General features: G+C 47.6%; 1 protein-coding gene and 1 pseudogene across 3 annotated transcripts in view, besides 8 other annotated features; one reads left to right on the top strand and one right to left on the bottom strand.

The window, feature by feature from the left end:
- Positions 3778–4294: an enhancer, noted in NCBI's record as "H3K27ac hESC enhancer chr8:37773894-37774410 (GRCh37/hg19 assembly coordinates)". NCBI's record gives its function as "activates a minimal SCP1, AML or CMV promoter by ChIP-STARR-seq in naive H9 embryonic stem cells {active_cell/tissue: H9 hESC(naive)}" and the evidence as "EXISTENCE:reporter gene assay evidence [ECO:0000049][PMID:30033119]".
- Positions 4295–4810: an enhancer, noted in NCBI's record as "H3K27ac hESC enhancer chr8:37773378-37773893 (GRCh37/hg19 assembly coordinates)". NCBI's record gives its function as "activates a minimal SCP1, AML or CMV promoter by ChIP-STARR-seq in naive H9 embryonic stem cells {active_cell/tissue: H9 hESC(naive)}" and the evidence as "EXISTENCE:reporter gene assay evidence [ECO:0000049][PMID:30033119]".
- Positions 4385–4679: a silencer, noted in NCBI's record as "tiled region #823; HepG2 Repressive non-DNase unmatched - State 8:EnhW, and K562 Repressive non-DNase unmatched - State 8:EnhW". NCBI's record gives its function as "represses a minimal TATA promoter and a strong SV40 promoter by Sharpr-MPRA in HepG2 and K562 cells {active_cell/tissue: HepG2 | K562}" and the evidence as "EXISTENCE:reporter gene assay evidence [ECO:0000049][PMID:27701403]".
- Positions 9792–10291: an enhancer, noted in NCBI's record as "H3K4me1 hESC enhancer chr8:37767897-37768396 (GRCh37/hg19 assembly coordinates)". NCBI's record gives its function as "activates a minimal SCP1, AML or CMV promoter by ChIP-STARR-seq in naive H9 embryonic stem cells {active_cell/tissue: H9 hESC(naive)}" and the evidence as "EXISTENCE:reporter gene assay evidence [ECO:0000049][PMID:30033119]".
- RN7SL709P (RNA, 7SL, cytoplasmic 709, pseudogene) lies at positions 11633–11932 on the bottom strand (annotated as a pseudogene).
- Positions 16940–17109: an enhancer, noted in NCBI's record as "active region_27239". NCBI's record gives its function as "activates an Ori minimal core promoter by ATAC-STARR-seq in GM12878 lymphoblastoid cells {active_cell/tissue: GM12878}" and the evidence as "EXISTENCE:reporter gene assay evidence [ECO:0000049][PMID:35858748]".
- Positions 20909–21138: a silencer, noted in NCBI's record as "silent region_19113". NCBI's record gives its function as "represses an Ori minimal core promoter by ATAC-STARR-seq in GM12878 lymphoblastoid cells {active_cell/tissue: GM12878}" and the evidence as "EXISTENCE:reporter gene assay evidence [ECO:0000049][PMID:35858748]".
- Positions 21173–27780, top strand: part of RAB11FIP1 (RAB11 family interacting protein 1) — a 40880-nt gene continuing 34272 nt past the window's right edge. For all 3 annotated transcript variants that reach the window (NM_025151.5, NM_001002814.3, XM_017013869.2), the window contains exon 1: positions 21173–21599. In NM_025151.5, the coding sequence (NP_079427.4) occupies positions 21229–21599 (371 nt within the window). In that variant the 5' untranslated portion in view covers positions 21173–21228. The remainder of the gene's footprint in view (positions 21600–27780) is intronic.
- Positions 21359–21788: a silencer, noted in NCBI's record as "silent region_19112". NCBI's record gives its function as "represses an Ori minimal core promoter by ATAC-STARR-seq in GM12878 lymphoblastoid cells {active_cell/tissue: GM12878}" and the evidence as "EXISTENCE:reporter gene assay evidence [ECO:0000049][PMID:35858748]".
- Positions 22918–23550: an enhancer, noted in NCBI's record as "H3K27ac hESC enhancer chr8:37754638-37755270 (GRCh37/hg19 assembly coordinates)". NCBI's record gives its function as "activates a minimal SCP1, AML or CMV promoter by ChIP-STARR-seq in naive H9 embryonic stem cells {active_cell/tissue: H9 hESC(naive)}" and the evidence as "EXISTENCE:reporter gene assay evidence [ECO:0000049][PMID:30033119]".

Below are 27780 nucleotides of genomic sequence, written 5' to 3'. Positions count from 1 at the left end.
TCTGAGACACAATTCAGTCCATAGCAGTGTGGCTTATATCAGATGACATGAACTGAAGTAGCTGGTAGATATGGAGGGGAGTTGTTTTTGTGTTGTATATTCCTACATGGCTCTGTTTAACTAGGTGCCAGTTGTCTGTATTCACTTTCTTGCAGAAGAAATCACATATAAGTTATGCTCAAACTGTTTCCTAACATATTAATAGTGTTGGAACAAATTCAGGTTTTCAAATCAAGCATTATACCACCAGGTATTTTTTGTAGATATTGACAGCTGATTCTAGAATTCATATGGAAAAGCAAAAGACCTAGAATAGCCAAAACTATCTTGAAAAAGAACAAAGTCAGAATACTAACATTATCTAATTTCAAGTCTTATAAAGCAATAGTAATCAAGATAGTGTGGTATAAACATAGACAAACAGATCAGTGGAACAGAATAGAGTGTCCAGAAATAAACACATCTACATATGGACAACTGATTTTTGACAAAGATACAAAGGCAATGCAATGAATAGTGCTGTAAAAATTGGATAAACACACGCAAAAAAAGAAAGAAATTCAGAAAGGAAGAGAGAAAGAAAAGAGCTTTAATTCATACCTTGCACCATATATAAAATTTAATTAAAAACTGATCATAGACCTAAATGTAAAACATAAAATTATAACACTTCTAGAAGAAACCAGGGCCTGGCACTCAGAACAATAAATACCGAGTTCTGAGTGGGGGCGGGCCTCCCACTGCTGCCTGGGCTATCCCTTCTTTGAGACACACTCAGCACATCCCAGAGTTCCTGCAAAACTGGTCCCACACCACAGCACTGAAGCTGTCACGGGAACATGGAGAAGTGGATTACCCCATATGGGAAATTTAATAAATCCCCACTAGACTCCCCTGATCTACCAGTGGCCTTGTTTTCCTCCTCTTCCTCTTGCTTGTTTCTGTTAGAATCTCTCACATCTCTTAATGGCCTTGAACAGATCAGCTCAGACCCCAAGCTTATACCGTCCCTTCAATATAATCCTGCCTTTAGAAGGCAGTTTGGAGAGCACGACCTCTGGGGGTGTCACTTCCCCGGATACACAGCTGAGTGGCTTAGTTAGTATTCCTCCAACGAAAGTGGATTTCCTTGGTCAGTGGGAGTATGTTCTGTGCTTAAGAAAAATTAGCATTTCTCCATTTTACTACAATTAAAAAGGATAGTCTAGTGGTTAGGAGACTGTGCTTTGGCCTGAAACAGACCTGAGTTCACATCTGTGTTCTGCATTGATCTGTGGAGCCTTGGGCAAGTTCTCTATTCTCACTAAGGCTCGGTTTTCTCTTCTGTAAGATGGGGGTAAAAATCCCTACTTTAAGGCCGGGCTTGGTGGCTCACGCCTGTAATCTCAGCTCTTTGGGAGGCCGAGGTGGGCAGATCACCTGAGGTCAGGAGTTGAGACCAGCCTGACCAACATGGTAAAACCCCGTCTCTACTAAAAATACAAAAATTAGCTGGGCGTGGTGGTGGGCGCCTGTAATCCCAGCTACTTGGCAGGCTGAGGCAGGAGAATCGCTTGAACCCGGGAGGCAGAGGCTGCAGTGAGCAGAGATGGTGCCACTGCACTCTAGCCTGGGTGACAGAGTGAGATTCCGTTTCAAAAAAAAAAAAAAATCCCTAATTTTATGGGTTGTGGTGATGATGAATAAGATCATTTATGTAAAGAGCTTGGCACAGCTGGGCACAGTGGCTCACGCCTGTAATCCCAGCACTTTGGGAGGCCGGGGCTGGTGGATCACTTGAGGTTAGGGGTTTGAGACCAGCCTGGCCAACATAGTGAAACCCTGTCTCTACTAAAAATACAAAAATTAGTTGGGCATGGTGGTGCGTGCCTGTAATCCCAGCTACTTGGGAGGCTGAGGCAGGAGAATTGCTTGAACCCAGGAGGTGGAGGTTGTAGTGAGCTGAGATTGCACCATTGCACTCCAGGCTGGGTGACAGCGAGACTCCATCTCAAAAACAACAACAACAAAAAAAAAGATCTTGGTACATGATAAGTGCTCAGTAAGAGTTATTATTAGCAGAAATCTTCCAGAATTTCTAGAAGTTTCATTCATCACTAAAGTCCCCAGGAGGGAACTCAAGAAGCCACGACAGCCACTGTGGGTCATGAAAGGTTTGCTGTGTAGCCTCTTCATTTATCTGGCTCCCCAAGAATGTCTGCAGATGAGAATCCTTATCTCACGATCCCACTCAATCTTTCTTCCTAGCTCTTTGCTTAAATTTCCCTTTTGTGATGCCCCTGTACTTTCTAATGTCCTCACTCTCTCCCTCCACAACCATGGGCACATACGAAGCAGGGGGTACCACTGGGCATCGTGTGGTTCACAGCCCTTGATTGTTCAAGGAAGGAGCTAGATACATGGAAGTCCTGATGCCAGTCTCCAATGGTGGATATCAGTGGCTCTTAACGTTTTCTGGGTCAGAGAACCTTTTAGAATCTGATGAAAGGTAGCAACTGTCTGTCTAGAAAGATATATATTCTCACATGCACACAACACTTGCCTACAATCTCAGGGGCTCTTGGATGCAGAGATGCCCTTCCAGTGCCGCCTAAGTGTTCCCAAGACCCAGGTAGCCTGGATGACACCTTCAGTACCTTCCCGGGAGGTCTCTCACAGAGCTGCAGCAGCAGAAAAACAGACCTCAACTCTTTCCCCTTTTCCTGCCTTCCCTTTGTCAGGAGGTGCCAGGAGAAGGAAATAATAACTGCTCTAAGGGGGTCAGGGAGAGAAAGAAACAAAATCAGGCTGGGTGAGGTGGTTCACGCCTGTAATCCCAGCACTTTGGGAGGCCAAAAGGGATGGATCACTTGAGTCCAGGAGCTTGAGATCAGTCTGGCCAACATGGTGAAACACTGTCTCTACTAAAAATACAAAAATTAGCCAGGCGTGGCAGTGTGCCCCTGTAAACCCAGATACTCGGGAGGCTGAGACATGAGAATTGCTTGAACCCCACTGCTCTCCAGCTTGGGCGACAGAGCAAGACTCCGTCTCAAAAAAAAAAAAAAAAAATTCAGCCAGTACTTAAAGTCAGTCTGTGAGCAGTGAGAAATGACTAAGTGAACAGGAGCATGTTTTGTGAGCTTCACAAAGATTCATGGTATCAATGAAAGATATATGGTGACCAAGAAGAACTCTGTGGATTGCAGCAGAAATAGAGGTTGGAATGGGAGGAGGGGGAGAATGGCCTAGAAATGTTACTGGGGCTAAGAGGAAAAGAGCTCTGGAGATTGGTTACACAACGTCAGTGTACGTAACACTACTGAACTTAAATGTAAGACACTTAAATGCTAAGACAAAATCTCACTCTGCCACCCAGGCTGGAGTGCAGTGGCACGTTCATGGCTTACTGCATCCTCGACCTCCTGGGGTGAGCCCAGGCCAAGCTAATTTTTAAATTTTTTTTAGAGGTGAGGTCTTGTTATGTTGCCTAGGCTGGTCTCGAACTCCTGGCCTCAAGTGATCCTCTTGCCTTGGTCTCTCAAAGTGCTGGGATTACAGGCGTGAGCCACTGTGCCTGGCCTTCACCATAATTTTTAGTTACTGGCCATCATATCCTCCATGAGAATGTTTAGGGTCTACCCTACCAGACCCTGGGCAGTTACCCATCCCTACCTTCTAGAAAGTGCAGAAGCTCAATGACAGACTTTGGTCTAGGGCCTGTTTTGTCAATGGTAAGTTAATGATGGTGGGATCACTGATGGTGCCAGTGCTGGAATTAGTGTAAAGCTATAGAAAATGGGTAAGTTTAATTGAAGGGCCGGGCACAGTGGCTCATGCCTGTAATTCCAGAACTTTGGGAGGCTGAGGTCAGGAGTTTGAGACCAGCCTGGCCAACATAGTGAAACACTGTCTCTACTAAATATACAAAAATTAGCTGGGCATGGTGGGATGCGCCTGTAATCCCAGCTACTCGGGAGGCTGAGGCAGGCGAATTGCTTTGAACCCAGGAGGCGGAGGTTGCAGTGAGCTGAGATTGTGCCACTGCACTCCAGCCTGGGCAGCAGAGTGAGACTTGTCTCAAAAAAAAAAAAAAAAAAAAAGGAAAGAAAGAAAGAAAGAAAAGAAAAGAAAGAAAAAGAAAAAAAAAGTGAGTTTAATTGGAAGGGCGGGAGGAGGGAGCACAAAGCTGGCCTGCAGGTGTATCCTGCCCTCTGCCTTTCAGGAGAGTCTCACGGGCGCACCCTAATCGGGAACCTGGAAGGTTCACATGTGCATTGCTACTTTCCAGTTGCATGACTTCTGAGGCAGCAGATGGTGCTGTTTAGCAAACCTGGGCACCAAGAACAAGAAACCTGAGCTTTTAACTTGAGAGGTCAGCCCCTGCACCCGGGTAACTCTCCCTTCCATCTGCCAGGGCAGAGGAAGGTATGGAAGGTGGGAGTCTTCTTCCTCTTTAAGCTCCTTAGAGCTCCTCTGCTGGCCCCAGGGAGGAGGGAGGGCTGAGATCTGTTTTCATGTGTGTTTCCCACGTGTGTTGGTATCCCAAACGTCTCTGGAATGCGGCTCAGGTGCAGCCTTTCTGAGAGGGGTGAGGAAGTTCGAAGGCATCCTCACACACCCCTCCATGGGCTGGGCTGACTCACCCACTCCTCAGCTCAGGGTAGCTTCAACAGCTTTATGAGCTCCTCCTGACCCTAGGATTACCTCCTTTCCTTAGGAAGCTGGAATTGCTCTCAGATTTCTGGGGCTCCACAGCAAAACAGACAAAACACTTGAAAAACCTCTCCTTACATGCATTTTTAAATTTCATATTTTTATCCAGTGAACTACACAGGTTCCAGAACTGTGGTGCTTTCTGTGTGGGTTAGAGCGTGGGATTAGGGAGGAGGTCTCCTTCTACCCTGGGGATCAGTATTTGATTGTTTCACTGGGCTTTGCCCCCAACAATGCTAGGATTCTGGGATGTGAGAACACAACACTGGTTTGGCAGCTTCAGCAAGTTTTAAAAAGCCCTGCACTCCAAAGCCCGTGGAACCTCACTGCACGCTGGTGTTCACTCTTAGCATACCTCTGTGTCCCTACCCTTGTGTTCCCTTGGCCTCACCTTTCTCATGGTGTTCTAATTTATGTTGTTTAACTTCATTTATGTGGTGTTGTAAACAACCTTAAATCTTTTTTGAAACAGGACAGGGTACAAATAAATAGAAAAACACAGCTCTAAAAGGTTAGATGTTTTGATATTTGCTGAACCTTGTGCTGATGTAAGAAAATTACTACATCCCTCAGGGACTATAATATCTAGAAGCCTCCAAGACTGGTGGGAGAGAGATGAACTCCTTATGGGAAAAGGCAGCAGAATCAGATAGCCATGACTTTGGGCCCCTGGGATTCCCGATGTCTCCCCTGGGCATTTTTCTAGGGTTGCTGCTGTTACCACCAAGTTTTCCGGTGGGGTGGAGTGGGATGTTTTAACCATCTTGTCATTATGGACTCATGAACTTTCCCTTGATGCTTTAGAAGCAGAGCTGCTAAAGCTCTAAACTCATAAGACTGAAACTTTATTTATTATTATTATTTATTTAGAGATAGGGCTTGCTCTGTCCCCCAGGCTGGAATGCAGTAGCATAATCATAGCTCACTGCAGCCTCCAAATCTTGAGTTCAAGCGATCCTCCTCCCGAGTACCTGGGACCACAGGCATGTGCCACCATGCCTGGCTAATTTTTAAAATTTTTTTGTAGAGATGGGATCTCGTTGTGTTGCCCAGACTGATCTCAAACTCCTGAGCTCAACTGATCCTCTTGCCTCAGCCTCCCAAAATGCTAAGATTACCGGCATGAGCCACTGTGGCTAGCTAGTTGATTCTAAAATGCATATGAAAATGCAAAACTCCAGGTGGGGCGCAGTGGCTCATGCCTGCAATCCCAGAACTTTGGGAGTCTGAGGTGGCTGGATCACTTGAATGCAGAAGTTTGAGACCAGCCTGGGTAACGTGGTGAAACTCTGTCTCTACCAAAAATACAAAAGATTAGCTGGGCGCGGTGGCACTCACCTGTAGTCCCAGCTACTCGGGAGGCTGAAACAGGGGGATTGCTTGAGTCCCGGAGGATGAGGTTGCAGTGAGCCGAGATTGTGCCACTTTACCCTGGACTGGGTGACAGAATGAGACCCTGTCTCGAAAAGAAAAAAAAAAAAAAGAAAGAAAGAAAAAAGAAAAAAATGAAAAAAAGAAATGCAGAGGTCTAAGAATAGCTGGTAAATCTTGACAGAGGAAGTACAAAGCTGAAGACTTTACACTACTAGATATTAAGATGTGTCATGAAACTGTGGTAATTAAGACAGTATGGTATTGGTTCAGTAATAATGAAATAGACCAGGGAACAGAATAGAGTTCAGAAACATGATATTGACGGGCCCATAGGGGAAAGCTGGGTCATTCAATAAATGGCACTGGGTCTATGGGATATTGTAGGAGCTGAGGAAAAACTTTCCCTCTACCCGCTGAAAAACCAACTCACAAAAGGCAGATTAGGAAGAGAAATGGCCCACAAATGTTTTTAACGTGAACAGGAATCTTATCAAAATATAAGATCTCAAAGAAAAATGTCATTGATGCTTTTATACTATCTTGAAGTTACAGAAAGAATAGGGGCTTGGATTCATGGCAAAATAGTTTATGGGAGGGAGAGAAGAGAGGACTGGCTAGCAAAGGTGTCTTGTTATATGGAGGGGATCTCACAGGTTGGAGCCTTCAGAGAGAATAGGTGGTAAATGTTTCTTTCAGACCTTTAATGGTGTCAGACTCTCAGTTCATCTTTCCTGGATCCAGGCAAGGGAGGATCTCAGAGAAAGCCTGGCTGCATCACGCAGATTCTCAACAGATGCAAATCTCCCCGACAAAAGACAGCTTGGGGTTGGGCGCGGTGGCTCATCCCTGTAATCCCAGTACTTTGGGAGGTCTAGGCAGGCAGATCACTTGAGGTTAAGAGTTCGAGACCAAGGCCGGGCGCGGTGGCTCACGCCTGTAATCCCAGCACTTTGGGAGGCTGAGGCAGGCAGATCACCTGAGGTCGGGAGTTCGAGACCAGCCTGACCAACATGGAGAAACTCTGTCTCTACTAAAAATACAAAATTAGCTGGGTGTGGTAGCACATGCCTGTAATCCCAGCTACTCGGGAGGCTGAGGCAGGAAAATTGCTTGAAAACCCAGGAGGTGGAGGTTGCGGTGAACCGAGATTGCGCCATTGCACTCCAGCCTAGGCAACAAGAGTGAAACTGTCTCAAAAAAAAAAAAAAAAAAAGAGTTCAAGACCAACCTGACCAACATGGTGAAACTTCATCTCTACTAAAAATACAAAAATTAGCCAGGTGTGGCGGAGGGCACCATAATCTCAGCCAGTCAGGATGCTGAGGCAGGGAGAATTGCTTGAATCTAGGAGGGGGAGGTTGCAGTGAGCCTAGATGGTGTCCCTGCACTCCAGCCCGGGCAACAGAGTGAAATTCCATCTCAAAAAAAAAAAGAAAAAGACAGCTTGGTAGGACTCCTTCTGTCCACAGGTCCTCTGAACAACCATCTCAAAATATGTCAGACTAGGCCGGATGTGGTAGCTCATGCTTGTAACTCCAATATTTTGGGAGGCTGAGGTGGGAAGATTGCTGGAGCCCATAGTGAGCTGTGATCGCATCTCTGCCCTCCAGCCTGGGGGACAGAGAGAGATGCTGTCTCAGAAAAAATTTAAGGCGGGCCCGGTGGCTTATGCCTGTAATCCCAACAGTTGGGGAGACCAAGGCAGGTGGATCACTTGAGGCCAGGAGTTCGAGACTAGCCTGGCCACCATGGTGACACTCTGTCTCTACTAAAAATACAAAAATTAGGCCTGGCGCAGTGGCTCATGCCTGTAATCCCAGCACTTTGGGTGGCCGAGATTGGCGGATCACCTGAGGTCAGGTATTCAAGACCAGCCTGGCCAATATGGTGAAACCCCATCTCTACTAAAAATACAAAAATTAGCCAGGTGTGGTGGCTCATGCCTGTAATCCCAGCTACTTGGGAGGCTGAGGCAGGAGAATCGCTTGAACCCAGGAGGCGGAGGTTGCAGTGAGCCAAGATTGTGCCACTGCACTCCAGCATGGGCAACGACAAAAAAAGCGAGACTCCATCTCAAAAAAAAAAAAAAATGATAATGATAATTAGCCAGGTGTGGTGGTGCACGCCTGTACTCCCAACTACTCAGGAGGTTGAGGCGGGAGAATCACTTGAACCTGGGAGGCGGAGGTTGCAGTGAGTGATGGTGCCACTACACTCCAGCCTGGGTGACAGAGTGAAACCCTGTCTCAAAAAATTTTTTTTAAATGTCAAAGTATATTTCGGAGTGAAATCTTTTGGGTTCCTTCAGTATTCATATGGGGAAAAATGAATCTTGATCCCAACAGATACTATATGGTAGGGAAAATTTTGTGCTTCAGTGGAAAATTGCATTATCTATAGTACATTCTCTGGATTATCTGATTTTGATTCTATGATAGCTATTTTACAGCTCTGTGTCTGGTAGACAATTGAAAGCAATGCAAAATTCATAAAAGCAAATTGTCTAGTGGAGGGACACTCCCTGCCCCCTCCTCCAGAAAAACAAGCTTTGCCTCCATTTGCATATTCATTTCAATATTTCTGGTCTCTAAATGCGTCTATTCTTTGGATTCACCTTTGAACTGGTTGTAACACCTTACTAGTTTTTCTTAATAATAAGTGTAATAAAATTTTAACATGTTTATTTTTATGTCTGTATGAAAGTTCATAATTTTATGTTTTTTAAAAAATTAATTTTTGGGTTGGGCGCAGTAGCTCACGCCTGTAATCCCAGCACTTTGGGAAGCCGAGGGGGGTGGATCACCTGAGGTCAGGAGTTCGAGACCAGCCTGGCCAACATGGCGAAACCCCATCTCTACTAAAAATACAAAAATTAGCCAGGCGTGGTGGCTCATGCCTGTAATCCCAGCTACTCGGGAGGCTGAGACAGGAGAATTGCTTGAACCCAGGAGGCAGAGGTTGCAGTGAGGCGAGATGGAGCCACTGCACTCTAACCTGGGTGACAGAGCAAGACTCCATCTCAAAAAAAATAAAATTAAATTAACTTTTGGCCAGGCACAGTGGCTCACACTGTAATCCCAGAACTTTGGGAGGCCGAGGCAGGTGGATAACTGGAGCTCAAGAGTTTGAGACTAACCTGGGCAATGTGGAGAAACCCTACACCTACAAAAACTACAAAAATTAGCCAAGCATTGTGGCTCATGCCTATAGTCCCAGCTACTAACACTTGGGAGGCGGAGGTAGGAGGCTCACTTGAGCCTGGGAGGTTGAGGCTGCTGTGAGCCATGATCATGCAGCCTGGGTGACAGAGCAAGACCCTGTCTCAAAAAAATTAACTTTGAATAATACAAAAAATTAGGTGGATTGCTAATATAAAGGTGGAAGGCAAACCAAAATGCTTTTATAAGACAATAAAGGAGAATATATTCATGACTTTGAGACAGCAATGATTTCTTAGAAAGGACTTAAAGCACTAACCATAAAAGAAAAGATTGATCATTTGGGTGTCATTAAAATTAAGACTGCTTTTCATCAAGAAACACCACTAAGAGAGTGAAAAGGCATGCCACAGAGTGGGAGAGGATACTTGCATTACATTATAGACTTGATATCTCTATCTTTGTAATGACATCTACAAATCAATACAAAGACAGAAGAAAAATGGGCCAAAGATATGAGTAGGCCCATCACGAGAAAACCATATCCAAATGGTGAAAAAGCTTAAGAAAAAGCATACAGCCTCATTAGTCACCAGGGAAATAAAAATTAAAACTATTGCACAGCCGCCAGAAGGGTGAAATGCAAAAGACAATACTAAATGTCTTCATCTGCTTGTGTTACTATAAGGAATACCCAAGGCTGGGTAATTTATAAAGAAAAGAGGTTCATTTGGCTGCTGGTTCTTCTGGCCATACAAGAAGCATGGCACCAACATCTACTTCTGATGGGGGCCTCAACCTGCTTCCACTCATGGCAGAAGGCAAACGGAAGCCTGCGTGTGCAGAGACCATAGGGTGAGAGAGAAAGCAAGAGAGAGAGGGGAGGTAGCAGTCTGTTTTTTTTAATAACCAGCCCAGGCTGGACGCGGTGGCTCATGCCTGTAATCCCAGCACTCTGGGAGGCGGAGGCGGGTGGGTCACTTGAGGCCAGCAGCTCAAGACCAGCCTGGCCAACATGGCGAAACCCCGTCTCTACTAAAAATACAAAAATTAGCTGTGCATGGTGGCAGGAGCCTGTAATCCCAGCTACTTGGGAGGCTGAGGCAGGAGAATTGCTTGAACCTGGGAGGCGGAGGTTGCAGTGAGCCGAGATGGTGCCACTGCACTCCAGCCTGGGTGACAGAGCAAGACTCCGTCTCGAAGAAAAACAAACAAACAACAAACGAAACGAAAAAAAACGCAATCAGCCCTCACAGGAACTTACAGAACGAGAACTTACTCACTACTTCCAAGACTGCACCAAGCTGTCATGAAGTCTTGAGGGATCCGCCCCCATGACCCAAACACCTCCTATTAGGTCCCACCTCTGACACTGGGGATCACATTTCAACATGAGGTTTGGAGGGGTCAAATATTCAAACCATAGCACTGAGGCTGACAACCATGTGGAGAAACTGGATCTCAAACATTGGTGGGAGTATAAATTGCTATAACCTCTTTAGAAAATTGTTTAGCAATATCTCTTAGTGCTGAACATACACCCACCCTGTGATCCAGCAATTCCATTCTTGGGTGTGGGTGCACACTTATGTCTATGCACTGAAAGACAGAGGAGAATTTAGAGCGATTTCATTCCCCATACCCCTGTATTCGCTTCCTGTGGCTGCTGTCACAAATTACCACTAACTTGGTGGCTTAAGACAACAGATGGCCGGGCGCAGTGGCTCACACCTGTAATCCCAGGACTTTGGGAGGCCAAGGCAGGAAGATCACCTGAAGTCAGGAGTTCAAGACCAACCTGGCCAACATGGTGAAACCCCTGTCTCTACTAAAAATACAAAAATCAGCTAGGCATGGTGGCGGGCACCTGTAATCCCACCTACTTGGGAGGCTGAGGCAGGAGAATTGCTTGAACCTGGGAGACGGAGATTGTAGTGAGCTGAGATTGTGCCATTGCACTGCAGCCTGGGTGACAAAGAGAGACTCCATCTGAAAAAAAAAAAAAAAAAAAAAGGCAACAGATATTTATTCTCTCACTGTCAGCTCTGGAGGTTGAAAGTCCAGAATGAAGGTGTCAGCAGGGTTGAACTCTGTCCAGAGGCTCTAGGGAGGTGTTGTCACTCGTGTCCTCTGGCTTCTGGTGGCCTTGGGCATTCCTTGGTTTGTGGATGCATCAGTCTCATCTCTGCCTCCTCCTTCTCAGGTCTTTCTCCTCCTGTTTGTGTAGTCTCGCTCTGCCTTGTTCTGTTAGGACACTTGTCACTGGAGTGAGGGTCCTTCTGGATAATCCGAGATGATCGTGTCATATCAAGGGCCTTAATTTAATTACATTGGCGAAGACTCTTGTTTTTATATATATATATATATATATATATATATATATATATATAAAATTTATTTATTTTAGAGATAGGGTCTCGCTATGTTTCCCAGGCTGGAGTGCAGTGGCTGTTCACAGGTGTGATCCCACTACTGATCAGCACAGGAGTTTTGACCTGCTCCGTTTCCAACCTGGGATGGTTCATCCCTCCTTAGGCAACCTGGTGGTCCCATGCTCCCAGGAGCTCACCGTATTGATGCTGAACTTAGTGCAGACACCAAATCAACCTAGTGCCCTACAGCCCAGAACTCCTGGGCTCAAGCAATCTTCCAGCCTTAGACTCCTGAGTAGCTGGGACTACAGGTGCATACCACCATGCCCCATGAGACCCTTATTTCTAAACAAGGTAGCATTCACATGTCTGAGGATTAAGACATGGACATATCTTCTGGAGAGCCATCCTTCAGTCCACTGCAGGCCCCAGACTACAAATAACATGAATGTCTATCAGCTTTAGAATGGAAAATAAATTGTGGTATATTCATACCATGGAATACTATAAACCAATATGAATGAAAAAATTACTGCTACAGGAACTGCATTAGTGAATCTCATAAACATAATGCTGATTGAAAGAAGTCAGACTGGCCGGGTGTGGTGGCTCACGCCTGTAATCCCAGCAGTTTGGGAGGCCGAGGTGGGTGGATCACCTGAGGTCAGGAGTTTGAGACCAGCCTGGCCAACATGGTGAAACCCCATCTCTACTAAAAATACAAAAATTAGCCAGGCATGGTAGTGTGTGCCTGTAATCCCAGCTACTCAGGAAGCTGAGGCAGGAGAATCGCTTGAACCCAGGAGGCGGAGGTTGCAGTGAGCCGAGATTGTGCCCCTGCACTCCAGCCTGGATGACAGAGCAAGACTTTGCCTCAAAAAAAAAAAAAAAGCCAGACCCAAATGTCTGATAAATGTCTGATTCACTTATGTTCAAAAATGGCAAAACTAAGCTGGGTGAAGTGGCTCCCACCTGTAATCCCAAGTACTTGGGAGGCTGAGGTGGGAGGATCACTCGAGCCCAGGAGTTTGAGGCTGCAGTGAGCTATGATTGTGCCTCTGCACTCCAGCCTGGATGACAAATGAGAGCCTGTCACTTAAAAAAAAAAAAAAAAAAAAGCAAAACTAATGTATGAAGATAGAAATTAGGACAGGGGGTTGGGCGCAGTGGCTAATGCCTGTAATGCCAGCACTTTGGGAGGCCGAGGTGGGCAGATCATGAGGTCAGGAGATCGAGACCATCCTGGCTAACACGGTGAAACCCCGTCTCTACTAAAAATACAAAAAATTAGCTGGGCGTGGTGGCAGGTGCCTGTAGTCCCAGCTACTCGGGAGGCTGACGCAGGATAATGGTGTGAACCCGGGAGGCAGAGCTTGCAGTGAGCTGAGATCACACCACTGCACTCCAGCCTGGGCGACAGAGCGAGACTCCATCTCAAAAAAAAAAAAAGAAAGAAAGAAAAGAAAGAAAGAAATTAGGACAGGGGTAACTTTTGGAGGGGAGGGGGACTGGGAAGGACTCACAGGCAGATTTCTGTAGGTGCTGATACTATTTCTTTACCTGGGTGGTGAAAATTCACCAAACCAAACATTTTGGTACACTTTTTCTGCATAGGATGGCTATAATACATTTTTCTTTTCATCCTCTTTCCTTTATTATAACTATGCTACATTTTAATGAAGTTTATTTTTAAAAATCTTGTTACTGGCTGGGTGCAGTGGCTCACACCTGTAATCCCAGCACTTTGGGAGGCTGAGGTGGGCGGACCACCTGAAGTCAGGAGTTCGAGAGACTAGCCTGGCTAACATGGTGAAACCCCATCTCTACTAAAAATACAAAAATTAGCCGGGCATGGTGGTGCGTGCCTGTAATCCCAGTTACTCAGGAGGCTGAGGCAGGAGAATTGCTTCAACATGGGAGGTGAAGGTTGCAGTAAGCCAAGATCGCATCATTGCACTCCAGCCTGGGCAACAGACTGAGACTCCGTCTAAAAAAATTTAAAAAATATGTTACTATACAGGTGTGAGCCACCACACCTGACCTATGATGAACAGGTATATTTTTAGCATCAGAAAAAAAAATATATATGTATATATACATATTGATGGCTGCTGCCCAGGCTGTAGTGGAGTGGCACAATCTCAGCTCACTTTAACCTCTGCCTCCTGGGTTCAGGCGATCCTTGTGCCTCAGCCTACTGAGTAGCTGGGATTACAGGCACCCACCATCACAGGCTAATTTTTATATTTTTTTAGTAGAGACAGGGTATTGCCATGTTGGCCAGGCTGGTCTCAAACTCCTGACCGTAAGTTATCCACCCTCCTCGGCCTCCCAAAATGCTGAGATTACAGGCATGTCCAGCCAAAAAATAATTTTTAAATTTAAAAATAGGGATGGGGGGGTCTCACTATGTTACCCAGGCTGGTCTTGAACCCCTGAGCTTAAGGGATCCTCCCACCTCAGCCTCCCAAAGTGCTAGGATCACAATCAAGAGCCACTATGCCTGGCCTAAACCTTGTATTTTAGAAAGCTAATTATACAGGGTGTAGGGCTAAAGGTGGCAAGGATTGAACGGACAGATGCTGAAGCTTTGCAAGTTATTTGTGTCTGTTCTACTTAACTTGAACTGCCTTCTATTTACAAAGAATCAGGAGAACTAGAAATGGTGGTACAAAGGTGAAGTACTGGCCTGGTACTGTGGCTCATACCTGCAAGCCACTGATTTGGGAGGCCCAGGTGGGAGGTCGGCTTGAGGCCAGGAGTTTGAGACCAGCCTGGGCAACACAGTGAGACCCCATCTCTACAAAAAATTAAAAGTTAGCCAGGCATAGTGGCACACAGCTGTAGTCCCAGCTACTTGGGAGGTTGAGGCAGGAGGATTGCTTGAACCTAAGAGGTCAAGGTTGCAGTTAAGGTAGGAGAATAGGGAATCAGGGTAACTAAGGGTTAAGGCATAAGCAAAAGAACAACAGGTGCAGCCAGTTCTAGGCAAGATTAGGCAACATCCAGGCCACATCCTCGCTCCTCTGATAACACTTCAGACTCCGATTGGTTGCGTGCCAATCCTTCATAGGGTGTAACCAATGGAGGCCTCTAAAGGGCACCTGGGGTGTTACCAAATTCTCTTATCTTAATAAAAACCCTAAAGAACATTGCAGTTGGGGCTCTTGAGCCGCTTGCTAGAGCCTGCTCCCACTCTGTGGCATGCGCTTTCACTTCAATAAATCTGCGCTTTCATTGCTTTTTCCTTTTGTTGCTTTGTGTGTTTTGTTCAATTCTTCATTCAATGAGTCAAGAACCTGGACAACTCACAGTCAAGACTTCCTATCCGATAACACAGTGAGTGATGATTGCATCATTGCACTCCAGTTTGGGTGACAGAGTGAGACCCTGTCTCTAAAAACAAAGTAACAAACAAAAAACCAAAACAAGAAACAAAGATGAGGTGCCCATTTCCTGCTTTTGAGATGATACCAAGTGAATAAAGCAAGTCCTGAATAAAGCATAAGAAATAAACTAGGAAACAGAAGCAATCTGGCTAGGAGAGGCCTAAAGGAAGGATTTGTGCAGTGGGAAGGGAAGGAAAGGGGTGCACATTTTCTACTACATTGTATTTGTGGGATCCAGGGGTCTTCTTTGAGGGGACCTGACAAATTGGAAAGACAATACCTTTGCATTATCTATAACATAAGTTTTGTTCAACAAAGCCATGCTCTTAACACGGTTGCAGGGGAAATGGTTAGCCACTTGCCTGTTGAGATCATTTTCTGTCCGGTTTTCTGTCCATGCTGAAGGCTTGCACGTCATTTATGGATCTTCTACTTACCTTGAACTGCCTTCTATTTGCAAGCAATCAGGAAAGCTAGAAATGGTAACACAGAGGTGCCCTACTGGCCGGCACGGTGGCTCGTGCCTACAAGCCACTGCTTTGGGATGCCGAGGCAAGAGGATTGCTTGAGCTCAGGAATTCAAGACCAGCCTGGGCAACATAACAAGACCCCTGTCTCTACGATAAAATTTAAAAAATTAGCCAGGCATGGTGGTGTGTGCCTGTAGTTCCAGCTACTTGGGAGGCTGAGGCAGGAGAATTGCTTGAACCCAGGAGTTTGAGGCTGCGGTGAGCTGTGACTGCAGCACTGCGGGGACTGCAGTGAGTCTCAGTACAATGTGTTTTGCCTTGGTAAAGGGGAGAAAACAGCTACCAAGGTGCCTGGGCCATGGTTTCAACCTCCACATTGCCACAGCTACTGGGGCAAGGGAAAGAGAACCCGATGTCAGGCACTCTGACCTCCCTTCTTCTCACTGACCCCCCAAGGCAGGAAGCCCTTGCTCCTCAAACCTACAACTGAAAGGTGCCCACGGCCAACCAAGTGGGCAGGAGGCTGAGGCAGCTGGACACGGGGAAGCCCGAGGGCTGTTTAGAGCCAGGTGAGTGAATCACCCTGTGTGGACATTTGTCACCACATCCCAGAGTCTGAAGCAGAGCAGAAGGTCAAGGAGCCATTTCCAGCCCCTTTCTGCTCCTCCATGGGCTAGCACAAGAGCCCACCTGGAGTCCCCAGAGATGGTTTCTGAGCTAGTGTCCCTGCAGCAGGGGCATCAGGGACACTGAAGGGCTCTGGGGGAGTGACTGTCAGGAGGATTCTCTCCCTGGAACCCCTTTTCTCCTCTTCCCCAGCGTGGCCCCAGGGACTCTCTTATGGAAGAGGTGCTTCCCGCTGGTCTAGACACAGCCCTGCCTTCTCATCAGCTCTAACTGCACAGCTCGGCTGCCCAGGGCCATCTAGGTGGCTGGGAGTCCTGGCACTCTCTGCTCTGCTGCTTTTGAAGGAGGACAGGTGTCTCACCTGTCCAGTCTAACCTGCCAGGCTTGTCCATGTGCTCAGGGTTGATTGAAACTCTTCCTCTTTCAGTCCAAGCTGGAGGCAGGGCAGGATGGGAGGAAGGAGCAGCCTTCCTGTTCTGCCGCACCCTGGCTGCGGGAGGTATTTACAAACACTCCTGGAACTCAGTGACCCTGCGCGGGTTCAGCCGGCCAGCATAGCCTGGCCTTTGGGAGTGGGGAGGAGCGGCCACGGTGGAGTCTTCCCAGGGCCAGTGGGGAGCCAGGGGCCTGCAGGGTGCCTGCCTTGTCACTGCCCTTGTTGTTGTCCCTGTGCATCCCCCAGCCTGGATTCTGGGTCTGGAAAATTGGGAGAAGACAGAGGGTGACTCCTGGGCAGAGTCATGGGAACAACGTGCTCTGGGCTGGTGGAGGGGAAAAAACAGCCACCAAACAGCTGGAGGCAGCAAGGCACACCTGGTGCTGGGGCTCCGGCCTCTTCCTTCTCTGAAAAATTTCCAGTTCCTGCCTTGGGAAGCCCCCACTCCTTTGAGCTAACCCCTGCCAGTGGTCAGTGTCTGATGAGAGTGGTCTGGATTTCTCCTGGGTGGTGAGGCAGCTGTGCCTGCCTCCAAACTACCACATCTGCTTTCACCAAAGTCTATTTGTGTCTCACAGAAACTCAAACACATGAGGTCACAGGTACTTCCCCACCCTCTTTGTCCTCTAATCCTTTCCATGGGTGGAAGATATGCTTTGTTTCATACTCAGCTGGGGAGGCTGTCCAGCTAGGTTTTATGCCTTGTTTTCTTTATTGGGGGAGCAGCACTAAAAATGTGAGTGTTGGAGAGGAGGGGGAACTAGAGCTGAAAAACTTCCTCCCAGGCTGAGTTGTTTGTTTGTTTGTTTGTTTTTAAAGACAGGGTCCCACTCTGTTGCTGAGGCTGGAGTGCAGTGGTGCAATCATAGCTCACTGCAGCCTCGAACTCCTGGGCTCCAGCAATCCTCCCACCTCAGCCTCCCTAGTAGCTGGGACTACAGGTGGACGCCACCACACTCAGCTAATTTTTGAAGTTTGTTTTATAGAGACAGAATCTCAGTATGTTGCCCAGGCTGGTCTTGAACTCCTGGGCTCAAGTGATCCTCTAGCCTTGGCCTCTCGAAGTGTTGGGATTACAGGTGTGAGACGCTGTGCCCCACCTCCCCAGGTCAGTTTTGAACTGAAATCTATGACTTTGTCCAGCTGGCGTGTAGTAGAACATTGGACAGGTAGGATAATCAAGAGGAAAGTGTATACCCTCTTATTTAATTCAGTACCAACTTAGAAGAGACTCCAAGATGGGGAAGAGGTAGGCAGATTGGGGCAGAAGGCAGACAATCCCCAGGTGAAAATGAATGAAGGCATCTAGCTGTGACCTGCCTGCCAAGCTGTTGGCTGCTGGACTCCTTCTTCTCATACCTCCCTTGCAATTTGAGAACAGCCTAAGCAGGTCACTGCTCAAAGTTCTCTGAAGGCTGGCTCCCCTGGTCTCAGCCTGGTGTTCTCTGAAGGCTGGCTCCTTAGCCTGGTGTTCATGGTCTGAGCGCAGCCTGTCTTATTTCTGTCTTATTTCTACCACTCATTCTCAGTGGCCTCCTAAAGCATCCTACATTCCAGCCACAATGGGGTATGTGAAACCTGGAAACGCCACGACTCTCTGGTCCCCATATCTTTGCGTAGGCTGTTCTCCTCTTCTCTCCTGAAATGCTCTTCTCATATGTCTCCTCCTGTTTCTGTCAAATCTGATATATCCTTCAGGGCCCAGCTGAGCCCCTCCTACTTCACAAAAATCCACCAACTTACAGAAATCGCTCTCTCCTCAAAACACCCAAAGCATCACAGTAATCAGGACTTCCTTTAGATGATGCTGGAGTGCCTTGGAACTGAGTCTCATTCAGCTTTGTGCACTTGGTAGCACCCGGCACATGCCTGGCACAAAGTAAATGCTCAACAAATCGTAACAGGGTCTCGGTCTATTGCCCAGGCTGGAGTGCAGTGACATAATCATAGCTCACTGTAGCTTCAAACTCCTGGGCTCCAGTAATCCACTCACCTTAGCCTCCTGAGTAGCTGGGACTATAGGTGCGCACTACCATGCCTGGCTAATTATTGGTTTTATTTTTTATCTTTTTGTAGTAACGAGATCTTGCTGTGTTGCCCAGGCTGGTCTTGAAGTCCTGGCTTCAAGTGATCCTCCCACCTCAGCCTCCCAAAGCACTGGGGTTACAGGTATGAGTCACTGCATCTGGCCTCAAGAAGCCTTTATGGAAATTAACTGAGTCATAATGTTGAATGAGTATAATGGATCATCCAGAAGGGAAAATGGCACCAAAACAACACAGTTCTGTTAGGCTTTCTTGCCCCTTCTATGCCTGCTGGCTTCTTTCCCCCACTCCTCCCATCATCGTTACATATTTCCAACATGGCCAGGTGCAGTGGCTCACACCTGTAATCCCAGCACCTTGGGAGGCCGAGGTGGGCAGATCACTTGAGGTCAGGAGTTCAAGACCAGCCTGGCCAACATGGTGAAACCCCATTTCTACTAAAAATACAAAAATTAGCGGGCATGGTGTCGTACATCTGTAATCCTAGCTACTTGGGAGGCTGAGGTACAAGAATCGCTTGAACTTGGGAGGCAGAGGTTGCAGTGAGCTAAGATTGCGCCATTGCACTCCAGCCTGGGAGACAGAGCAAGACTCTGTCTCCAAAAAGAAAAAAAAAAAAGAAAAAAAATATTTCCAACATACTAAACAGGCCTTTCTCACACTGCAGCTGCCCTCAGTTGCAAACCTGAGGCATACCTCTGTCTTCTAATTTCCTACGTGGTAAAAGGAAACACTTGGTCCTCATGGTTGGCCAACTTAACCTGCAAACTCTTGAGTTCAGTAGCACTTCCCGGGTACCTACTGTGCACCCAGGTTTGTGCTGGAGGCTGTGAAGGAGACAAGTTGAATAAGTCACTACCTGGTCCCTGCCCTCAGCAGGGCATAGGAAGTCAAACCTTGGAGAAATATGAGTGAACCCTTGCAGTGGGAGGTTGGCAAAGACAGTCAAGGGTACAACGTAAAGGCCTGGAAGTAAAAAGTGTCTGGGCTACAGGTTTGTTTGTTCGGGAGATAGAGGAGAATGAGGTAGGGTGGGGTCAAAATGGAGTACCTTGAAATCTCTGTTCAGTCCGAAGGTAACGCGGTTGCTGGTGAGGCAGCCAGCAGGTTAGTGAAGCAATGTGCAGTGTGAACCAGAGGGAGGAGAGCCTGGAGATTGGAGGGACACGAGTAGCCATCCAAGATTGGGGTTCTGTGGATCTGGAAGAATCAAGAGATGCACTGAACAGCTGTTTGGGAGTCAGGACACTGGGATCCCAGTCCCAGCTCTGCAGAGGGACCTTGGACATGTCACTCCTCTCTTCTGAGTCTTTCCTTAACTGTAAAACTTTAAAACCTTCCAAGTGACCTTTCCAATCTGATGACTCGTTAAACAGTTGAGCCTTTGAACTAGGACCTGTGAAATGAAGGGAAGCAGCCGATCTATTAGGCATTTGGAACAAGAAAGGGACTGCCTGGGAGCCCAGGGATAGAGGCAGGGAGAGACTAAAGAGGGCCTGGCAAGGGAGAAATGGGGAACTGCGGGCTGGGGGCCTGCCACTGTCCCGATGTTTGATTTGGCAATCCCATTTTCAGTTCCTCCTTTCTTCCCTTTTTCTAACTCAGCCTCGCCTTATCTGGTGGGGGGAGGGCAAAATAGGACACTCCCACATTGAACTCATGCTCCCCAGGATACCTTCCCCTTTTCCGGCCCTCACAAGGTCCTCACCTTCCTCTGCAGCTGCCTTCCTCCAGAGCAAGGCTTTCCAGCGGGAGAAGTAGAAAGCACAGTGAATTGGGTGGGCATCTTCCTTAGCACCCTCATAGTTACCAACTTTATTTTTTTGAGACAGGGTCTTGCTCTGTTGCCCAGGCTGGGAGTGCAGTGGCACGATCTCGGCTCACTGCACCTCGACCTCCTGGGCTCCAGAGATCCTCCAGACTCAGCCTCCCAAGTAGCGGGGACCACAGGCGCTTGCCACCACTCCTATCTAATTATTTTTAATTTTTTTTGTAGAGACGGGGATCTGGCTATGTTGCCCAGGCTGGTCTCGAACTCCTGGGCTCAGGAGATCCTCCTGTCTCAGCCTCCCAACGTGCTGGTCATGGTTATTTACTGAGAACTCACCATGAGCCAGGCACTGGGCCAAGAACTGTAATGCATTATTATTATTATTTTTTACAGCAATCCTAGGAGGTGATTGTCAGGTGAAGAAATTGAGACTTGATGTTAGGTAATCCGCGCAAGGCCACGACTGGCGATGTGACCCTGGAAATGAGGTCTGACTTCCAAGTCAGTGCTTCGGCCAGCTCCTTCCCGCCGTGCGACCTTTGGCAGCTGGGGACCCCATCCGTCACCTACCACCTCTCAGATTAGATTCTCGATGCGCCCGCCCCTGCGCACGTGATCCCCTGCCTGCCTGGCCGCGCCAGCCCCGCCTCCGGCGCCCGGGTGCCCGGAGCTGCCCGCGCTGCTGAGGCCGGCGGGGCGGGGCGGGGCGGGGCGGGGCGCGGCGCAGCAGGTGGAGCAGGCGGCTCGGGCAGGGGCGTGGCCTTGGCCATGAGGGGCGTGGCCTGGCGGGGGTGTGGCCGGAAGCCTTAAAGTGGCCTGGTCGCCGGGGCGGGCCGTGGAGGCCGCCAGTCGCGGCGATCTTCTCCTCGCTTCTGGAGTGTTATCGTCACCATGTCCCTAATGGTCTCGGCTGGCCGGGGCCTGGGGGCCGTGTGGTCCCCAACCCACGTGCAGGTGACGGTGCTGCAGGCGCGGGGCCTGCGGGCCAAGGGCCCCGGGGGCACGAGCGACGCGTACGCGGTGATCCAGGTGGGCAAGGAGAAGTACGCCACCTCCGTGTCGGAGCGCAGCCTGGGCGCGCCCGTGTGGCGCGAGGAGGCCACCTTCGAGCTGCCATCGCTGCTGTCCTCCGGACCCGCGGCCGCCGCCACCCTGCAGCTCACCGTGCTGCACCGCGCGCTGCTCGGCCTCGACAAGTTCCTGGGCCGCGCCGAGGTGGACCTGCGGGATCTGCACCGCGACCAGGGCCGCAGGAAGACGCAGTGAGTGCGGGCGGGGAGGGGAGGGCCCGGCCTGGGGGCGCGGACCCCTCCGGCAGGGCGGTCTGGGCGCTGGACCCTTCGAGAGTAAGCCGGGCAGCAGCGGGGAAGGCCTTTCGGGACGGAGCCCTCGGCCGGTGCTGGTGTTCTCACCTGGCTTCCCCTTCTGCGGCTGTCCCGCCCAGCTCTGCCAGCTTTGGGTCTTCTTGGAAGAAGGGGCCGTATCTGGGGCGCTTTTTTTTTTTTTTTTTTTAGACAGAGTCTCTGTCGCCCGGGCTGGAGTGCAATGGCAATGGCACGATCTCAGCTCACTGCAAACTTCGCCTCGCAGGTTCACGTGATTCTCCTGCCTCAGCCTCCCGAGTAGCTGGGATTACAGGCGCGCACCACCACGCCCGGCTAATTTTTTTTTTTTTTTTTTTGAGACTGAGTCTCACTCTGTCGCCAGGCTGCAGTGCAGTGGCACGATCTCGGCTCACTGCAACCTCCGCCTCCTGGGTTCAAGCGATTCTCCTGCCTGAGCCTCCCGAGTAGCTGGGACTACAGGCGTGCGCCACCACGCCCGGCTAATTTTTGTATTTTTAGTAGAGACGGGGTTTCATCAGATTGGCCAGGATGGTCTTGAACTATTGACCTCGTGATCCACCCACCTCGGCCTCCCAAAGTGCTGGGATTACACGCGTGAGCCACCGCGCCCGGCCCGCCCGGCTAATTTTTGTATTTTTAGTAGAGACGGGGTTTCACCGTGTTGGCCAGGCTGGTCTCGAATTTCTGACTTCAGGTGATCCGCCCACCTCGGCCTCCCAAAGTATTGGGATTACAGGCGTGAGCCACCGCGCCGGGCCTGGGGCGCTTTTGAATCTGCAGGACGCCCCTCAGCGTCTGGCACACAGTAAGCACTAAGTGAATTTTAGATGAATTCCAACTATACGTGGGCAGGTGCCTTCTTCTTACTAGGGTGGTAGCCCGTGTCTGATACTCGCCTTCGCTTGGGTGGAAGGCCTCCTGGGTATTTCACTGAATAGAAGAACACTTCGAGCCGAGAATGACTGGGCCAGGGCGCAGGGCAGAGGAACAGGAGGCATGAAACCAGCTGACACCCCCACCCTAAAGGCTAACCCCGGGCGCAACGCCTTTACAATGCGGGGTGGGTGGAGGTTGGGGGAGGGGAATGGCGTTTGCCGGCTGTCACATGACTTGCTAACCCCTTCCCCTACCTCATACTTGCCTAGGGGGTTGGTGAAGAGAATTTGCCCCTACAGAAAGAATGTTACAACAGTGTGGTGTGTGCCCTGGGCCCCATGTTAGTAAAGATTTCTCCAGGTTGGAAGGAGCCCGGGTGGGCCCTTGACGGAGCAGAACTGGGCATTGTTTCCTTTTGGAGTTGGTAGAGTTCTTCTCTCTGGTCCTAATCCTGGTGGATGTCTGCTCGCCTGTAGCTCCCAAAGATTGTGTCAGGTTATTTCACTTCTGCAGTAAAAACTGGGCAAAAACCATTCACTCCATGATATTACCGAATTATTTGTTTCACAGGTGTTCGGAAAGGGCAGTGCTTCACCCAAAGGAACGTTCGATTATGTTCATCTAGTATGCCAAAGCTAGCCTCGATTAGCTTAGCTGGTTACTTTGTTAGATCTTAAATACACAGGCCAGTCAGTTAGCACCGAAAGCCTATAGTCTAGGAATCACACTGATTTGCTTTGTGTGTTTTAGATATACATAGCCTTTTAACTTTCCCTTCTGTGGGAGACAGGAAAAGCCAGAGGGTTTGTCCTCTGGAGGCTCCCTTTACTGTGGGGTGGGTTCCATTTCAGCATGTAGGCTTGCAAATGGAATATTTGATGATGCAAACTTACCTGGCCAGAGATGAATAGGCATTTCTGAACTCACATCAGATAAAACTAGCCTTGATGTGAGGATGGATGGGGTATCTCACAGCATCAATTTACAAGCCATAAGGTGAGCAGTGTTTTTGCTAAGGAGGGGCTGCAGCAATGCTGATCTTCCATCTGATTAAATGACACTGGGGGTGGTGGGTTGGCTTCCCTTCAGCTTCAAATGGGTGCTGTTGGCCATCCGTTGTCTTGCGCCATCCCAACATGTGTGTATTCACTTCCTTCTCTGCCACCTGTTTCTTATGTGGACATTTTATCCCCTTGAGAGGTAGATCACATCTCCCTGCCAGAGATGGAGATTCCAGAGTCCTGGGTCCAGTGCCCACAGCAGCCCTGACTCATTGTTGGGCTTCTCTGTCCCTAAACACCCAAGTTTCTCTATTTGTAAATAGAGCATGTTGCCAGACTTAATTGATGTTTGTAAGATGTTTCTGGGTTCCTGGATTAATGGGGCCAATGTATCCAAGAAGTGATTGAAAAGGTTGGCAACTGCTTTGTGAGAGATTGAAACCTTGAGCTCTCTTTTTTTCAGGAAGAGTTCAGTCTCTGCATCTTCATTTTTCTTATTTTATCCAATGTAACCCTAAACCTATACAATAACTCCCACCTATTATGTGAACCGATTACCACCTAGTCACAGTATTGACTTCCAGGAAAATGGTGCTTAGTTGATTTTTTTTTCTTTCTTAAAATAACTGCAAAGGAAGGCTTCTTTGCATCTCTATGGGTAGATGAAATTTCCACTTTCCATCTACAACTTTCTGGGACTTTCCAAGGTGCCAAGGGTGCTGTCTGATGCCCTGGTGCCCAAGATAGCTGAGATTTAAAGAATAAGATATGCATTGAAAGGTGGAATTTTTTTTTTTTTTGAGATGGCGTCTCACTCTGTCCCCCAGGCTGGAGTGCAATGGCGTGATCTCGGCTCACTGAAACCTCTGCCTCCTGGGTTCTAGCAATTCTCCTGCCTCAGCTTCCCGAGTAGCTGGGATTACAGGCACCCGCCACCATGTCCGGCTAATTTTTGTATTTTTAGTAGAGATGGGGTTTCACCATGTTGGTCAGGCTGGTCTCGAACTCCTGACCTCAGGTGATCCACCCGCCTCAGCCTCCCAAAGTGCTAGGATTATAGGTGTGAGCCACCGTGCCAGGCGAAAGGTGAAATTTTAACAGAAGGAAATGAGGTGTGCTAGAAAAGTCATTTGAACGGGTGATTAATGGTTTGACTCCATTTCAGACTTAAAACAAGAAACAAAAGCTAAAATCTTGGTCTGTAGATTGTGTGTGTGTGTGTGTGTGTCTCTCTGTCTGTCTGTCTTTGTCTTAATCTCTAGCAAAGAAGAGTTGCTGCAACAGAGTATGACTTTTTTCTTGGGTCCAGAAGCTGAAACTCAAGGAGTTAAGAGCTAACTGTGCAAATATTTCCATTTGTTTTCTTGATAAGGCCCCAGTATCATTTATTTAGAGTCAAGATGTGATGACATATACTCTTAAAACATCAGAGGCTAACATATAAATAGGATATATCTAGTAGGGAAGAATGTGTGGCCCATTAGGAAAAATTGAAATGAATTGACTTTGCACTTACACATCTGTTAAGGACCTGGGGTCTTAGTGGGTCTCAGATAAATGGGAATCGGCTAAGTACTGTGACTGCAAAACAGACATGAATCTAACAGGTAGAATCGGGTGACCAATATGAGGGATTCTCTGCTCAACTCTCTAGTCTCATATAGTTTGGGACCCTAGATTGATAGAAACCTTTTTAGGAGGCTAGACATGGTGGTTCCTACCTGTAATCCTAGCACTTTGGGAGGCCGAGGCAGGAGGATCACTTGAGCTCAGGAGTTCAAGACCAGCCCGGGTAACGTGAGACCCAAACTCTACCAAAAAAAAAAAAAAAAAAAAAAAAAAAAAAAAAATATATATATATATATATATATATATATATATATATATATATTGGCAGGCACCTGTAGTCCCAGCTATTCCGGAGGCTGAGGTGAGAAGATCATTTGAGCTCAAGAGTTAAAGGTTAGGGTGAACTGTGATCAGGCTACTGCACTCCAGCTTGGGCAACAGAGTAAAAGCCTGTCTCTAAAAAAAAAAAACATATATATATATGGCTGGGCGTAGTGGCTCATGCCTGTAATCCCAGCACTTTAGGAGGCCAAGGTGGGTGGATCACCTGAGGTTAGGAGTTTGAGACCAGTCTGGTCAACATGGTGAACCCTGTCTCTACTAAAAACACAAAAAATTAGCTGGACGTGGTGGCAGGTGCCTGGGTGCCTGTAATCGCAGCTACTCGGGAGGCTGAGGTAGGAGAAATGCTTGAACCCAGGAGGTGGAGGTTGCAGTGAGCTGAGATCGCACCACTGCATTCCAGCCTGGGCGACAAGAACGAAACTCTATCTCAAAATATGTATGTATGTGTGTGTGTGTATATATATATATATATGTATATATATATGTATATATATGTATTTATGTATATATAAATCAAAATGAAAAACCTTTTTGGATACTAAGAGCAACAAAATTTAGGGAAGTAATTTCTTAAGTATAGATTAAAACAAATATTTATGCAGCCTGGTGACTAGAAGGCTGTTGTGTAACTAAACACCATGAAACTTAATATTGCGATAGTCCTCCCCACATGAAGAGAGAGTGTGAGTGATGAAGGGCCATGTTCTTATATCTATTAAAACTCAAGAGGGAATTTGGTTGCATATGAAAGGACTTAGGTATTATAAAGGGTTAGATACTTGGAAGAACTGCAAGTTTAATAAGATGCTGAAATAAGTTGCCAACAGAAATGTTGGTTATTAAAAAAAAGAAAAAAGCAAGGGCTAGATAGTTGTTTTTCTGGGAGAGTTGGATGCAGAAAAACGACATAGATGACCACAGAGGTCCATAATCCACAAATTATAAGCAATGGGTGTTTGTTTTTATACCTTTAGGTTTCCTAAGAACATTTAGATTTTGCTTAATAGGTTGGAAAATTCAAGTAATGTTATTACTGATTACATTTTTCTTTTCTTGGAATTTCCCTTAAAGATAATATTGAGCCTTACTGGAAACCTCCCCAGGTCTTTCGAAGCCACAGTCCCCTCCCACTCTAGTGTAGGAAACTGAGATAGCTCAGTGCTCAAGCCTGAATTCTCTGTAGGTTCTAGAATAAACAACCCTAAACTGCTTATAACAGAGGAATGAAATGACTAAAAAGGATGAGAGTCCTTCAGAGTTGTTCTGGTGACATGGAAGATATTCCCTCATGGTTTTTTTTTGTTGGTATTGTTTATGATTTCATTTGTAAGACATTCAGTTAGTATGGAGAAAGTTCTACCTGCTTTTTTTCCATCTTCTTGTTTCTAAAGTTTATCCTTTTTTTTTGGAGACAGGGTCTCACTCTTTCCCAGGCTGGAGTGCAGTGACATGATCACAGCTCACTGCAGCCTCGACCTCCTGGGTTCAAGCAATCCTCCCAGCTCAGCTTCCCGAGTAGCTGGGACTACAGGGGTGTGCCACCATACCGAGCTAATTTATTTTTTGGTTTTGTTTTTGTAGAGATGGGATCTCACTATGTTACAGGCTGTGCTTGAACTCCAGGGCTCAAGCAGTCCTCCTGCTGTAGCCTCCTGAAGTGCTGGGATTACAGGTGTGCGCCACCTTGCTCAGCCTCATCCATTCTTGTAGTCAATATTTTTTAATGCCTACTATGTGCCAGGTGCTAGATATACAGTGTAAACAATGGTGAAGAAAACAGGGATGATCCCTGCTTTCAGGAAGCCCAGAGCCTTGTAGGGGAGTAGGCATTAAACGAATGAACATGTAATCTCAGCACTTTGGGAGGCCGAGGCAGGGGGATCACCTAAGGTCAGGAGTTCGAGACCAGCCTGGCCAACATGGTGAAATCCTGTCTCTCCTAAAAATACAAAAATTAGCTGAGTGTGGTCGTGTGCACCTGTAATCCTGGCTACTTGGGAGGCTGAAGCAGGATAATTGCTTGAACCCAGGAGGCAGAGATTGCAGTGAGCCGAGATTGCTCCACTGCACTCCAGCCTGGGCTATAGAGTGAGATTCTGTCTCAAAAAAAAAAAAAAAAGAAAAAAGAACTCACAAATAAATAATCATATATTGTGGTAAGTACTGTGGAGAAAGAGGACAGGATATTATAGAAGAAAAGGGCAGGAAGGACATGATTTAAAGAAGGAGATTGCAGGTAGCCTCTCTGAGGCAGAGAGCTGAAGAAAGAAGAGGAATTTTTCTAGTGAGGAGTGGAGGAAGGGGGC

This window comes from Homo sapiens, chromosome 8, assembly GCF_000001405.40.
Source record: "Homo sapiens chromosome 8, GRCh38.p14 Primary Assembly".
NCBI classification, from domain to species: domain Eukaryota; kingdom Metazoa; phylum Chordata; class Mammalia; order Primates; family Hominidae; genus Homo; species Homo sapiens.
This window is presented reverse-complemented; position numbering and strand designations above follow the sequence as displayed.